Source organism: Homo sapiens, chromosome 8 (assembly GCF_000001405.40).
Source record: "Homo sapiens chromosome 8, GRCh38.p14 Primary Assembly".
NCBI lineage: Eukaryota > Metazoa > Chordata > Mammalia > Primates > Hominidae > Homo > Homo sapiens.
Window position 1 is genome coordinate 12750183 of NC_000008.11, and position 13803 is coordinate 12763985.

The window sequence follows — 13803 nt, forward strand, 5'->3', positions numbered from 1 at the left end:
CACATGAGTTTGTGTATGGATCAATTACGATAATAGAAATGAAAATAATTGTGAACTATAATCACCATACAGACATCAGTGTTTACTGTTTCAAGTCCTCTGCACAATAAGTAAGGACATAAATAAGTTAGCAAGAGCCTCCCTTTACCCAAGGGGGATACGTTCCAAGACTCCCACGGATGCCTGCAACTTCAGATAGTACCAAGCCCTATATATACTATCATACCTGTGATAAACTTTAATTTATAAATTAGGTGTAGTAAGACATTAGCAACAATAACTGATGATAAAATAGAACAATATAACAATATGCTGTGATAAAACGTACATGAAAGTGGTCTCTCAAAATATTTTATCATACTGTACCATGTGGGTAACTGAAACCACAAATAAGGGGAAACTACTGTATTGTTTAAATTCAAATTTCTTCATTTTAACCTAGTTGAGTTACTAAAGATAATAAAAACCCTCTACATTTTCTTTAAATGTATTCAGTATTTACCTATAATTTGACTGATCTTCTGATAGCTAAAGCTTTTAAGTATCTATAGTTTATTGATGAATGCTAAACTGCTAGTTAACATGTGTAAACTAAAATCGGGATGTAATTGTTACTCTCTACCAAGTGATAGAACAGAACAGGATGTAAAATTGCAAGGTTTAGATTCCACTTTCAGCAAAATCCCCTTCTAGCCGTAACACACTTCTACATTTTAAAAATATTGAATTAATATTTACTGGGCATTTACTCTGTGTCAGGCACTATTTAAAGCACTTAGCATGTTTTGACTCATTTGATTCTCACAACACCCTATGAGGTAGAGACTATTCTCATTTTTCAGATAAGGAAACCAAAACACAGATAGGTTAGGCAACGTGCACAAGGTCGGAGAGAGGCGAGGGCTGCGTCAGGATTGGAACCCAGGTGTCAGCTTCCAGCATGCAGAGCTTTAATCACTAAGCCACACTGCATGTCTATCCATAGATGCCTCAGTTTCCCTCTGAGGATAATATTACAGTACTCCATAGAATTCTCTGTGAAGATCAAATGATATTAATATAAATAATGTAAAAATACTGGGTAACAGTCAAGGATTATATTTTTATTTTTATGTTTTTTTTTTTTTTTTTTTTTTTTGAGACTGAGTCTTGCTCTGTTGCCCAGGCTGGATGGAGTGCAGTGGTGTGGTCTCAGCTAACTGCAACCTCCACTTTCCGGGTTCAAGCAATTCTGCCTCAGCCTCTGGAGTAGCGGGAACTACAGGCATGCACCACCACGCCTGGGTAATTTTTTGTATCTCTAGTAGATACGGGGTTTCACCATGTTGGCCAGGCTGGTCTCGAACTCCTGGCCTCATGCGATCCGCCCGCCTCGGTCTCCCAAAGTGCTGGGATTACAGGTTTGAGCCACCATGCCTGGTCAAGCATTACAGAATTAATATTAAAGACAAAATTTTCCTTACCCAAATATTTTAAAACAAAATATCACCCCCCCACCTTACAACCTTTTTTTTTTTTTTTAACCTGTACAAACTGTAAATTATACTGTTCTGTTGTCTTCCTCTGGGGGAGAGGTGAACACACGAAGGAGATAAGTCAGTGTAAAAAAACATTAAACACAAAAGGCAGGCAGCATGGCTTAGGGGGATCATTTCAGTAGGCTCAAGCACAGAGATTCAGTGCAGGAAAAACTTTACATAATATCCCTGAATACTAAAAAGACAGAAAGTTATGAAACATCTGAGAGTTAATACCAAAAGATCAATGGTTTAAATGTTATCTAAATATATTTCAATTCAACAGAAACTTATGTAATCTAAATGGGAAACTTCTGATTTTGGCAAAGGTTTTCAAGCTTTCTTTTGCTGCTGGCAGAGATAAGTTTGGATGTGTGTGGGCTAACTGCAGACTAGATTTTTTCTAGTTAATAGTATTTACTTGTTTCATTATAAGAATTATACGAAGAAATTATAGTGAAGATCTTTTTTCATTATCAACAATAATGACAAGATCATTAATAACTACAACCGTACAGTTATATAAATACATGTCAAATGCCTAGCTTGCCAATTCCAAAGAAGTTAAAGCCTAAGGATTGTACAAACAGCTTATGACTGTACTAGTTAACATTTTGATTTACACCCATAAATTGTGAGACACTTATAAATCGGCCCTTTACCAACTCTAATTTGTTAGCTCTGAGATTTTTTTCCTGTTAGTTCACATTAAGAATTCAAAAGATTAAAAAACTTATCCTCATTAGTGCCATTCAGACATTTTCAAGCATGGAATTAATGATTCTTGAAAGAACTAAAAATGAGGAAAAAATAAGCTAATGCAGTGAAAGTCAGAAGACTTGGGTTCTATTCCTGCAAAAGTAGAATGAAGTTGCTAAGTGGGCAAAATCCTCATGTGCAATCTATGCAACTTGAAAAAAAGAGAGATTACATCTTTCAGAGCCTTTTCCTGTTAAACATAATATCCTCGATCCAAGAACCAGAATCTCTGTTAACTAAAATATTATTGGTCACAGAATGTTAAGCTAGACCTCAATTATCAAAAGTGCTCACTGTTCTTCCATGGACCAGGACCTGGATTCTTGTGAAACCCCTAATTCAAGGTCAGATCACTAAATCAGCAGTACTGTCCATAAGGTTCAGCCTCAGTGACCAAAAAAACTTCCTTGGATATGTATACTAAACATGTGCTATAAGGCAGGATGAACCCTAGACCAACGTTTAGGAGAAGCGGAAGATACAGCACTGCCTCTCTACCAGTTAACAGTGTGACGGTGTGCAAGTCTTCACTGCCTGGCATCTGCTTCCTCGCTTTAAAAATCACACCATGGTCAGTTACTAGGTGGTCTGTACAACTGAGTCCAGTTTCTCTTCTCTTTATTCACCCAGAGAAGCAGAGTCATGTGTATCAGAATTCTGTATTCCAAATACTTTTTTTTTGTTCTGAGCCTACCTTTCTATTTTATACCTGCCTACTCCTCACGAAGGCACTGAAAGAATACAAAAATCTCCGGGGTTTGTGCTTCGAACTCTAAAGATACTAAACAACACAAGATCTTGACATTAGTTCAATATGACTAAGCACTTGGGACAAAAGATGACCCGAAAGATGATCCTTTCAGTTACACAGTCTATAAATTTACCTGTAATACCTAAAGTCAGTTGCTATTCTAGATGTCTGTTTTCTTGGGGATTATTCCCCTATCATTTCATGCCAATGGATAGACACTAAGATCTTGAAATACGCGTAACACAAGGTTTATCAACAGTGGCACTTGGGGCCTGATAATTCTTTGTTGTGGGAATCCTGCTGTGCCTAGTAGGATGTCTGAGCAGCACCCCAGCCTCTCCCACTAGATGTCGGTACCAGCACCACCCCCACAAGAGGTGGCAACCAAAAATCTCTCCAGATATTGTTCTAAATAATGCCCCCTGAGAGAGGGGAGATAAAATCCCCCTGGTAGAGAACTACTGATTTATATAGAACAACTCTTCCTTTTACGTAAGAGAAGCTTGAAACTGCCCCCTTTCAGCGCCTAAAACCACCTTAAGAAGAAAGTGCTAACCTAGGTTAGGAGGCCGAGGCTGCTTCTTGGAGACTAAGAAATGCACTCAAGACCTATAAGGCCTTTCCCCACAGCCTGATCCTAAGTGGAAAGGCCAGGAGAAGCGTGGCAGAGAACTATGGATCAGGCAGCCCCTCTCATCTTTACCATAAGCTAGGTGCACTGCAAAGTACATAGGAAATAAGCAGGATCTGAAACAGGCCAGCTGAAACTTTCAAGAGGAACCAGTTCAGGCATTTCCAGGTAGCAAGGGACCACCCTGGGCAGCTCCGCCCCAAGCCCCAAGCCCGGCGGCCTGCAGGGCCTCCCGGGGCCGGGCGCCCGCGCGGAGCTCCCGCCACGCCCACCGGACGTCACCCGTTACACAACGCCCCCCGCCCCCAGCTTATGCAATTCTGCCCTCCCGCGGTTCCCAATTGTCCCGGTGACTTTTGTGGGTGAGGAAGGGAGACGCCGCCTGCCCGGCCTAGTTGCCCTCGCGGGGGATTCTCTCCCCGCCCCGGCAGTCGTTTCCCCGCGGCGGGCCCGGCCCGAGAGCCAATTCCCGGAAAGCGCGCGGCAGGAAGCGAGCGGCCGCTCGGGATAGCCCAGCTACCACCCATCCCGCGCCGGGGCGGCCTCGGTCCAGGTCACCCACTCCGCGCCGGGAGCGCGCGCCCGACAGCCAGGCCGCGGCCGAGGGAACCCCGCGCCGAGCGCCCCTCCCCGCGCCGCGTCACAGTCGGCTCCCAGGGCGATCCCCATTATGACCGAAGCACCCCGGGGCGCCGCCCCCTCCCACACCCCCCAGCACCCCGAGACCCGACACGCCAGCGGCCCAGCGGCCCCGGGGAAGCAGAGGAGACTCTCGGGGCGCAGACAAGCTCCGGGTCCCCGGCCCTCGGGGCCAGGAGGGTGCGGTCGGCCCGGCCCCGCCGCATCCCCGCGCGGTCACCTGCTCGCAGCGCCTCGCAGGCGGCGGCCAGGGCCTCCCGGTAGCGCCCCTGGTGCAGTAGCTCCCCGAGCCTGCCGGCCGCCCGGGCCCGCTCGCGCTGGCCCGGAAACCACTTCTCGGCCAGGTGGTTGAGGACGACGCTGGTTCTGAAGTCTGAAGCGGCGATGGCGGCGGCCAGAGGCGGCGGCCGCGGGGCGGTCCCTTCAGCATCAGTGGCACTGGCGGTGGCGGGCGGCAGCCGGTCCCGGCAGAGGCGGCAGCGGGCGCGGAGTTCCCTCCGCAGGCAGCGGCGGCAGTAGCTGTGGCCACAGGGCACGGTCACCGGCTCGCTCAGGAAGCCCCGGCAGCCCAGGCATCTGAGGAGCCCGCCGGCGCCGCCGTCAGCGCCTGCAACCGGGGCCGCGCTCCAGCCCAGCCCGTGGCGGAGCCGGTAGTTGAACACCAGGCAGTCCACCAGGGCGCCCAGGCACTCGGGCCTGGCCGGGGCCCCGCGGCGCAGCGCCGCCGCGAACGCCTCCAGCGCGCCCTTCAGGTGGCCGCCCAGCGCCAGCAGCTCCCCGCGGCGGAGCAGCAGCTCCCAGCGCTCCGACTCCGCGGCCGCGCGCTCCAGCCGATGGCCGCTGCCGCCGCCCACTTCCCAGAACCGGCCTCGGCCCTGCGGCGCTGGGGCCATCTCCCGACTCCCTCCTGGGGAGGTCCTCGCCACCGCCGGAGAGGACATGGCCCGCGGAGGGCTGCGCCGCCGCCGCCCGCCGCCACGGTCCCGGAGCCTCCCGGGCGCGCGGCTCCGCACGCGGCCCGCGAGCAGGGGGGCGTGGCGCGCGGACACGGCGGGGCTGCGCGCGCCCGGGAAGCCCCGAGGGCGGGGCCTGGCGAGGGCGGGGCCGGGCTCGGCGACGGCGCCCGGGACTCCCCCACGCCGCCCGCGGCCGCGCTCCCGAGGAGCCAAGCGCTGGGCCCCGCCCCTTCCGAGCCCCCTCCGGGTGGGGGACGCAGGTCGGATGATTCCTCCGTCGGAGATCTAATTGGCTTCTCCGGAAAGGAGGGCTCGGCTCGTGACGGAACAAAGCCGGAAGGACCCCGGAGCTTCAGTCCCCGCTTGCCTGTCTGCCAACGCCGCCACCTGCGGTGGCCCTCGCCCCTGCCGGGGGTTGGGGGACGCTCCCCTGCCGCGCGGGACTCCGGGTCACCACCCCTCCCCCGACGCCCCCGCCCAGGCCGGACCTGCCCCAACTCCTGGCGGGCGGGGGTCTCCCCGCGTGGCCTCGCGCTTGTGCGGGTCTGCATTTTCATAGCTCTACGCCCATGTTCCAGGTGGGCGCGCCCAAGCAGGGGGCCTGGGAGCGCACCTTCGGCAGATGACTGGGACTCTTCGGTTCTAGAGGACTCAACTTTAAATATGAACAAAAAACCCACGTTCCTGGGGCGACTCCCTCCAGAGGGCAAGGAGTTTTTCCTGGTGCCAGGTGACTGCTTGCCCGTCTTGCTTAAAACTCATCGTGGGCCCACCTCGAGGGAGAAAGCCCACAGCTTCCTCAGGTGTCTCCACACCTCAAGCACTGCCTTACAGCTGGTTAAGGTCTATATTTGGCAGTTTTAAAAGAAAACACCAAGAAACATGTTTCACATGGCGGTCACCGTATTACTACAACCCAAGCTGGCTCTGCAGTTTTGCTGACAGAAGAAAATGATCGGGTTGATATATAATGGGTGCTATTTCCCTTAAACTTCACAGCAGCAAGTTTAAAGCTCTCAGCTGAAAATACAGATTTGATGATAGGGTATTAGATCGCTAATGTTGGAAGTCACTTAGGACTTTTAGTCCTTTTTCAAATGATTGGAAACACAGGGAAAGTTATTTGTCAAAAATCACACAGCTAATACAGATTTTAAGATCACGTCTATTCCACTACTACTACGTTAGACTAATATGTAATATTTAATAAAATATGTAATATTTCATAGAAATATATGAGATTTTCAAAGTAAAAGAAGTTGCTAATTGGAAAGTTCACCTGAGCATGCTATGTATGAAATTGGTAAACGTTTAATATTTCTCTTTATAAGGAACAGGCAATTAAGGCTAAAAAATGTTTTGAGTTCATGTGTTTTCACTACACAATCAACAAGTCGTGTAACGTCAGAAAAGACAGAGTTATATTACCCTAAAGGGAATGAATAAAAAAGAGGTGCCTGAGAAAAAGCCAAGCCTCCTGTTCCAACAGGATGCAGACAGAAACAAGTTCATTTATCACTCACATTGCACCTGAAGCAAATTGCAGCTAGATCCAAGGAGCACCTCCTAAGCATTTGGCATGGGAAGCATTGGGATTAAGTCATGAGCATAACCTTAAATCCAATCCTAACCCCTAAATTACTACCTTAACAAGCAGAACAGTGACTTTCAGCTGATGTCCACATACTCCCTTGAGACTTGAAATCACAAACAAATATCCATGTGTACACGCACATTCATTTTTGTAACGCATCCTTGTTCTTAATGGCATGTTGCAAAATTTACAACAGTAAATATGTAATCAATGTGTTCATGTTTATTACAAGGAGCATAGTAAATTAATAAACACTCATAAACTTCTTTTCAAATATAAAGTCAGGTTCTATTATGGGATTTCTGCCAAAAGTACAATATGTGGTTCAGAAAATAATGTGAAGTATTATTTGTCCTTTGGAGTTCCTTTTCCTAATAAATATGACAACCACATCTGATTCTGATGTGAAATAAAATGGCACAATTATGATAATGTGCGGGAGAAAAAAATGGGACCGTAGGAGGAATCTTACCGTGTTCTCCTTGGCATTTGTGAATGGTTATAATTCATGTTTGCTGGTTTATGCATTTACATAACTTGTTCTCATTTATGTAACTTATTTATGTAAGAGGCTGTACTGCCGCTGTGGCCTTTGTGTGCTGCATAACTTCCCTTTGAATCAGGAAGTCTAGGCAAAGCAGTCACTGGCACTGTCACAGGTCACCCTTCCATCATTCTCTGCCATCCAAAAGTTGCACAATAATGTGACTGCTTGTTTAAATTCAAAGGCGAGAAAAATTAGTGTCCTTCTTCGTTCATTTCCTAAAATTTAGACAGGTCTCTGAGTCACCCAGCAGGCTGTGATGGAGAAGAGGGAATCCTGCTAAGCTGCCCCTGGCTAGGAGAAGTATAATGGAGTGAAGAGCTCTCCTTTTCCTTCCGCATTACTTGCTCGTGTCATTCTTTGCTAACAAAGTAGTAAAATCATGAGATTTGTATTCTGTTTCGGTTTTTGAGTGTTGTCTTCTAAAATAGATCAGTTATGTAAGAGAGTCAGAAGAAAAGCGTATCTGTTTCCTAATTTGGAAAATGCTTATCACCATCATTGCCTGCTTATCCCTGCCTCCCACTGCCACACCATAAGACTTTTCCTGATATAGTTTGGTAAACTCCTATTTAAGAGTAACATAACACAGTGCTTTTCTTATATACAACTCAGCTGAAGATGTGTATTTGAACCTCTTTTTTTTTTTTTTTTTTTTTTTTTTTTGCTGTGGGTGAATTTACCATTTGTTTCTTTACATTCTTATTAAAAAAGAAACTGAATTTGTCAGTCCAAGCAAAATATGTCCCATTCCTGATTCATTTCAGTTGATAATGTTCTATTCAAAGAGAGTAAACTATAACGTTTTATATAAACAGTACCTAGCCAATAGATTTTTTTTTTTTGACACAATCTAACTTTGTCACCCAGGCTGCAGTGCATAGTGAGTATATAGCTCACTGCAGCCTTGACCTCCTGGGCTCAAGCAATCTCCCACCTCAGCCTCTCCGAGTAGCTGGGACTACAGACGCATGCCTCTCTGCTCAGCAATTTTTTTTTTTTTTAACTTGTTGTAGAGGCGGGCCCCATTATGTTGCCCAGGCTGGTCTCAAACTCCGGGCCTCAAGCAATTCCCCTGCCTCAACCTCCTAATGGGCTGGGATTAGAGGCATAAACCACCACGCCTGGTCCCCAATAGCATTTTTGTACAGAATACACAGATGGAGGGGTCTCTAGAGACCACCTTTTCATACCCCTCTCTCTCTCTCTCTCTCTCTCTCTCTCTCTCTCTCTATATATATATATATATATATATATATATATATATATAAGAAAATTGGGATCTGAGAAGCTGCTAGTTTCATAGAAGTCATACCAGCGAGGGAATCCAGACACCTGGTGCTGACTCTATTTATGCCTCTATGCCAGGGAAGAAGTCACCTGGGTTCCCTAGGCCTCATTTGCTATCTGTAGAAAGAGGGAACTGCAACTACCTCTAAGGTGCCTTCTGCCTCTGGAGCCAAGCCCCAGGGCTTGGTTTGAACACAGTAAGAGGAGGCAGAGCATCTCCCAGACTGAGGAACACAGCAATGTGATACCTGCTGAAAATGTAACAGCAGATGAGGGCTGAGAATAGAAGAGAAGGGTATCAAGAACACATTTTGTTGGTACATACTCATCCCTGTTTAGAGAGGGGGAACCAGTTTCTGAGACCTGAACACCTGCAGTCACTGTACAGGGATCCCCTATTGCACTCACACCTCCTTGCCCCTACTGTAAAACTGTGGGAAGCTGAAAGAAAGCCGGGGGTGGGGGGGCCGAGGGAGAGCTGATTATATAACTTGGGCATTTGTGCGAAAGTTTATATAAGATGCTAAAAATACCATATATGATTGCTATAATAGCGTTCCAAATGAAAAGCCCTAATGAGGACAACCTGAGTAGGTTAAATAGAGCTGATACGAAGTGTAAGTCTAAAGCCAATTGCCTGCAAGGACTACCATCTAACCAAGTACCATTTACTGCTCATTCTTTGTTATCCCTACAGGGTGCACAAAGTGCGCAAGGGCCACTACCCTTACAAAGGGTGCTATGCTTCATTCTTCATTTCTAATACTCTGAAGAATCTAGAAATACTAAGTGTGTGACCCATGGCCTATTTTGCTGGTAGTCAAATTGATTAAATGAATACATTTTCCTGTATCAAGCTGTTTAAAAAGTAGACATAGGAATAAACCCCATATATTATTTAACAAATTCTAAGAATTTAATACATATGAATCCCCCTGGTACTTTCCATCCTCCTTCCTTGCTGCCCCCCCACCGCACACCCCCCCACCTTTAGTACTTATCATCTGACGTATTACATACATATTACTTGTCTCCACCCTCCAGAATGTAAGCTCCTTGAGATTTGGGATTTCTGTACATCTTGTTCACTGTCATGTCTCTAGCACCTAGGCACCAAGAAGACACTAGAAAATCATTCTTAAATGAGTCCACCCACAAAGATATCATGTACTATTTTTCATTCTTGTTAGTGATAAAAATCTGGTGGGGCACGGTGGCTTGTGTCTGTAATCCCAGCACTTTAAGAGGCCAAGGTGGGTGGATCACCTGAGGTCAGGAGTTGGAGACCAGCCTGGCCAACATGGTGAAACCCCATCTCTACTAAAAATACACAAAAATTAGCTGGGTGTGATGGCACACTCCTGTAGTCTCAGCTACTCTAGAGGATGAAGCATGAGAGTCACTTGAACCTGGGAGGCAGAGATTGCAGTGAGCCAAAACTGTGCCATTGCACTCCAGCCTGGGTGACAGAGAGTCTGTCTCAAAAACAACAACAAAAATCCACTTACCATTAATACCTTGGGGCAATTTATTTTCTTTATTTCTCCTCTGTTATGGATTGAAGGTTTTTGTCCTCACAAAAATTCATATGTTGAAACCTGATCCCCCGAGTGATGATATTAGAAGGTGGAGCCTGGTTGGAAGTAATCAGGTCATTAAGGTGGAGCCCTCGTGAATGTGATTAGTGCCCTTATAAGAAGAGGCCAGACAGCTAGCTCAGTCTCTTTCCATCAAGTGAGGATACAACAAGAAGTAAGCAGTCTGCAACCCAGAAGAGAGCCCTCGCCAGAATCTTACCATGCTGGCACCCTGATCTCAGATTTCTACCCTTCAGAACTTTGAGGAATACATTTGTTGTTTGTAAGCCACCCAGTCCATGGTATTAGGTTGGTGCAGAAGTAATTGCAGTTTTTGCCATTACTTTTAATCACAACTGCATCAACCTAATACTTTGTCACAGCAGCCCAAGCTGACTAAGACGTCCTGTCTTTCTCTGATACTTCCCATTCGGTGTGTCAGACAGTCCTCTTGACCACTCTTACCCCTTCTCCCCCACCACCACCCTGGCCCAAGACAGCAGTATCTCTTGTTTTATTTATTTATTTTTATTATTATTATTTTTTGAGACAGAGTCTTGCTCTGTCAGCTGGAGTGCAGTGGCACAATCTCAGCTCACTGCAACCTCTGCTTCCTGGGTCCATGCAACTCTCTTGCCTCAGCCTCCCAAGTAGCTGGAATTATAGGTGCCTGCCACCACACCTGGCTAATTTTTGTATTTTTAGTAGAGACGGGGTTTTGCCATGTTGGCCAGGCTGGTCTCGAACTCTTGACTTCAAGTGATCTGCCTGCCTTGGCCTCCCATGTGCTAGGATGACAGGTGTGAGCCACTGTGCCCAGCCCACATCTCTCGTTTTAAAATTAAGACAAGTTTGGGTATTCTTTAGGTTTGACCTGGAAGTCGGCAGTTAAATGTGCCCTCACCCTGCAACCTCACCTCTGGCTGAAAGCCCCAGTCTTCACTAGTGTCCAGGCACGCTGGCCTCTCCTGGGCCTTTGTCTTTTCTGTTCTCCTTGCCTGAAACGCTCTTCTGATACACAGCCCCAAGCCTCCTTCCTTCCTTTAGACTTTTGTGCAATGCCACCCACTCTATGGCGACTTGCCTGGTCTCCCTATCTCCTTTCCTGTCTTTTCATCTTTAGCCTCTATCCCTAATATACTGTATATTTAATTTATACTATATATTTGGTTTTGTACATTTTGTATATTTGATATTATTTATTATTTGTCTTCTCCAAATAATATAAATTTCACAAGGGATTTTAACTTCTTTGTTCACTGCTGAATATTTGATGCTTGGGACACATAATTGATCCTCCATTTAAAAAACGGTTGTATGAACAAATGAGAAAAGGGCTGTGGTGCTACACACAGAAACGTGTTTGTTTTGATGCTCAGCACCTGACTGTAATGGTTGTGGTCACTTGTGCCACAACTAGAAGGGAGAGTGAAGCCCGTGGAATTAAGGATGTGGTCTGGAAGCTCTAACATGGTTTCCTAGGACAGGATCTAACAAAATGTTAATTATTTGTAAGAGAGATAGGTAGAAATAAAGTGGTAATATCCAGCTTCTTGAAAAAAAAATCACTAGCTCTAGTGACCAACACTAAGTGACTTTACTGCTTTGGAAAGTTCCTGAAGATAGTGGCAATCAGGTAAATCCCCCATGCCCGTCAAATATAGAGGAGCCCCTGCCACTGTTCTCCTCCCATGTGGTTTTGTTTTAGACAGTCCTAGGATTATACAGAGGGTTGGGCTGTCACCTAGTTTAGAGGGCGAAGGCATGCAGTGCAACTTTACCTGGTACATTTTCAGCTCCTGTGTTATTTTTAAAACTCTGAGTTATGCCGAGCACAGTGGCTCACACCTATAATCCCAGCACTTTGGGAGGCCATGGTGGGTGGATCACAAGGTCAGGAGTTCGAGATCAGCCTGACCAACACGGTGAAACCCTGTCTCTACTAAAAATACAAAACATAGCCGGGCATGGTGGCATGCGCCTGTAATCCCAGCTACTCAGGAGGCTGAGGCAGGAGAACTGTTTGAACCCGGGAGGCAGAGGTTGCAGGGAGCTGAAATTGTGCCACTGCACTTCCAGCCTGGACGAAAGAGTGAGACTCCGTCTCAAAAAAAAAAAAAAAAAAAAATCTGAGTTGTTAGGTAAATTGTAAAAGGATTCAGGATTGCAGTTCATAAACTAATGAGTGACATGGATAAGATAAATACATCTATCATTTTGTTTAAAAGACTGGAGTAAGTTAATTGGGTGGGGAGGATGTTTGGTGAAGGAAGTCAAGCATGTTAAGTAGAAAAACACCTGTGACTAGGTTAGACTAGATGATCTGTATTCCAATATGGCCTACAAGTTCAGTGCCAAACAAGGAGACATGATGACTTCAGATGATGGAAGAGTTCATGACCAGGGGATGAAATTGTATAGATCACAGTCAAGACCAGGAAGAAATGGCAGAACAACCAACCAGGTTAGCAGCTTATAAAGTCAAGAGAAAAAAAAGGAAAAGCAAGATGTAAAATACATCAAGTCAATGTGCATTACAGATGAGTTTTAGTCAGTGTCTAGTACATGTTTTAGGACAGGTCTTAACTGTCCTAAAACAGTTAAGGCACAGGTCTTGGACTAGAGAAGGACCTTGGATGAAAGAGAAGGACACACATCTCTTTTTCCGATTCTGAAGTAGCTAGAGGAGGGGACGTTATTTTCAAACTTAAGTGAAATTAATTAGGTAGAAAACATGAAGGACTCTTTTCTCTAGCATGGAACACTAATGTCTCTATTTGGATGGCTATGACAAAAATACCCTAGACTGGGTAATTTATAAACAACCAAAATTTATGGCTCACATTTCTGGAGGCTGGGAAGTCCAAGATCAAGTCACCAGTAGATTCTATGTGTGGTGAGGGCCTATTTCCTGTTTATAGAGGGTGCCTGGTTGCTGTATCCCCACATGGAAGAAGGGAATGGGAGGCTCCTTCACATCTCTATAAAAGAGGCATTAATCCCATTCAAGAGGGCTCCACCCTCATGACCTAATCACCTCCCACACCACTACTCTTAATACTGTCACATATGTAGGTGCCAACATATGGGGGACGCCAACATTCAGATCACAGCAAATAAATATCACAAAAGTTAACAAGATATAAAAGGGTTCCAAGGAATAATGGAAACATTAAAATACTACTAAGGGGACGGGTGCGATGGCCACACCTGTAATCACAGAACTTTGGGAATGGGAGGTGGGAGGATCACTTGAGTCCAGGAGTTTGAGGCCAGCCTGGGCAGCATAGTGAGACCCCGTCTCAACACAAAATTAAACAATTAGCTGGGCATGGTGGCTCATGCCCATAATCCCAGCTGCTTGCAAGGCTGAGGCAGGAGGATCAACTGAGCCCGGGGAGTTGAGGCTACAGTGAGCTATGATCACACCACTTCACTCCAGCCTGGGCAACAGAGGAAGACCTTGTCTCAAAAAAACAAAAATCTACTGCTAAGGGAAGTCACGCTCTACTGAAATTCAGGTTAGTCAAGAAAAGCAATGATGT

At 46.1% G+C, this 13803-nt stretch overlaps 1 protein-coding gene across 7 annotated transcripts in view, besides 10 other annotated features; it reads right to left on the bottom strand.

Annotated features, from left to right (window-relative positions):
* The window catches only part of LONRF1 (LON peptidase N-terminal domain and ring finger 1), a 33621-nt gene extending 28277 nt beyond the window's left edge, over window positions 1-5344 (bottom strand). For 5 of the 7 annotated variants that reach the window (NR_138256.2, NR_138255.2, NM_001329976.2 and 2 more), the window contains exon 1: window positions 4518-5344. Coding sequence is in view for 5 of the 7 variants with exons in the window: in NM_001329976.2 (NP_001316905.1) it covers window positions 4518-5238 (721 nt within the window). In the remaining 2 variants the exon portion in view is untranslated. Of the gene's footprint in view, window positions 1-3730; window positions 4267-4517 lie in introns of those variants that run through there. The other 2 variants (XM_047422414.1, XM_011544694.4) reach the window with 1 other exon arrangement.
* Window positions 3743-3982: a silencer, noted in NCBI's record as "silent region_18950". NCBI's record gives its function as "represses an Ori minimal core promoter by ATAC-STARR-seq in GM12878 lymphoblastoid cells {active_cell/tissue: GM12878}" and the evidence as "EXISTENCE:reporter gene assay evidence [ECO:0000049][PMID:35858748]".
* Window positions 3993-4072: a silencer, noted in NCBI's record as "silent region_18951". NCBI's record gives its function as "represses an Ori minimal core promoter by ATAC-STARR-seq in GM12878 lymphoblastoid cells {active_cell/tissue: GM12878}" and the evidence as "EXISTENCE:reporter gene assay evidence [ECO:0000049][PMID:35858748]".
* Window positions 4123-4662: a silencer, noted in NCBI's record as "silent region_18952". NCBI's record gives its function as "represses an Ori minimal core promoter by ATAC-STARR-seq in GM12878 lymphoblastoid cells {active_cell/tissue: GM12878}" and the evidence as "EXISTENCE:reporter gene assay evidence [ECO:0000049][PMID:35858748]".
* Window positions 4123-4749: a biological region, named in NCBI's record as "ReSE screen-validated silencer GRCh37_chr8:12612250-12612440".
* Window positions 4559-4749: a silencer, noted in NCBI's record as "fragment chr8:12612250-12612440 (GRCh37/hg19 assembly coordinates)". NCBI's record gives its function as "represses an EF-1alpha promoter that drives an FKBP-Casp9 reporter gene in an ReSE screen in K562 erythroleukemia cells {active_cell/tissue: K562}" and the evidence as "EXISTENCE:reporter gene assay evidence [ECO:0000049][PMID:32094911]".
* Window positions 4753-5092: a silencer, noted in NCBI's record as "silent region_18953". NCBI's record gives its function as "represses an Ori minimal core promoter by ATAC-STARR-seq in GM12878 lymphoblastoid cells {active_cell/tissue: GM12878}" and the evidence as "EXISTENCE:reporter gene assay evidence [ECO:0000049][PMID:35858748]".
* Window positions 4753-5842: a biological region, named in NCBI's record as "H3K27ac hESC enhancer GRCh37_chr8:12612509-12613328".
* Window positions 4818-5637: an enhancer, noted in NCBI's record as "H3K27ac hESC enhancer chr8:12612509-12613328 (GRCh37/hg19 assembly coordinates)". NCBI's record gives its function as "activates a minimal SCP1, AML or CMV promoter by ChIP-STARR-seq in naive H9 embryonic stem cells {active_cell/tissue: H9 hESC(naive)}" and the evidence as "EXISTENCE:reporter gene assay evidence [ECO:0000049][PMID:30033119]".
* Window positions 5173-5842: a silencer, noted in NCBI's record as "silent region_18954". NCBI's record gives its function as "represses an Ori minimal core promoter by ATAC-STARR-seq in GM12878 lymphoblastoid cells {active_cell/tissue: GM12878}" and the evidence as "EXISTENCE:reporter gene assay evidence [ECO:0000049][PMID:35858748]".
* Window positions 7291-7350: an enhancer, noted in NCBI's record as "active region_27043". NCBI's record gives its function as "activates an Ori minimal core promoter by ATAC-STARR-seq in GM12878 lymphoblastoid cells {active_cell/tissue: GM12878}" and the evidence as "EXISTENCE:reporter gene assay evidence [ECO:0000049][PMID:35858748]".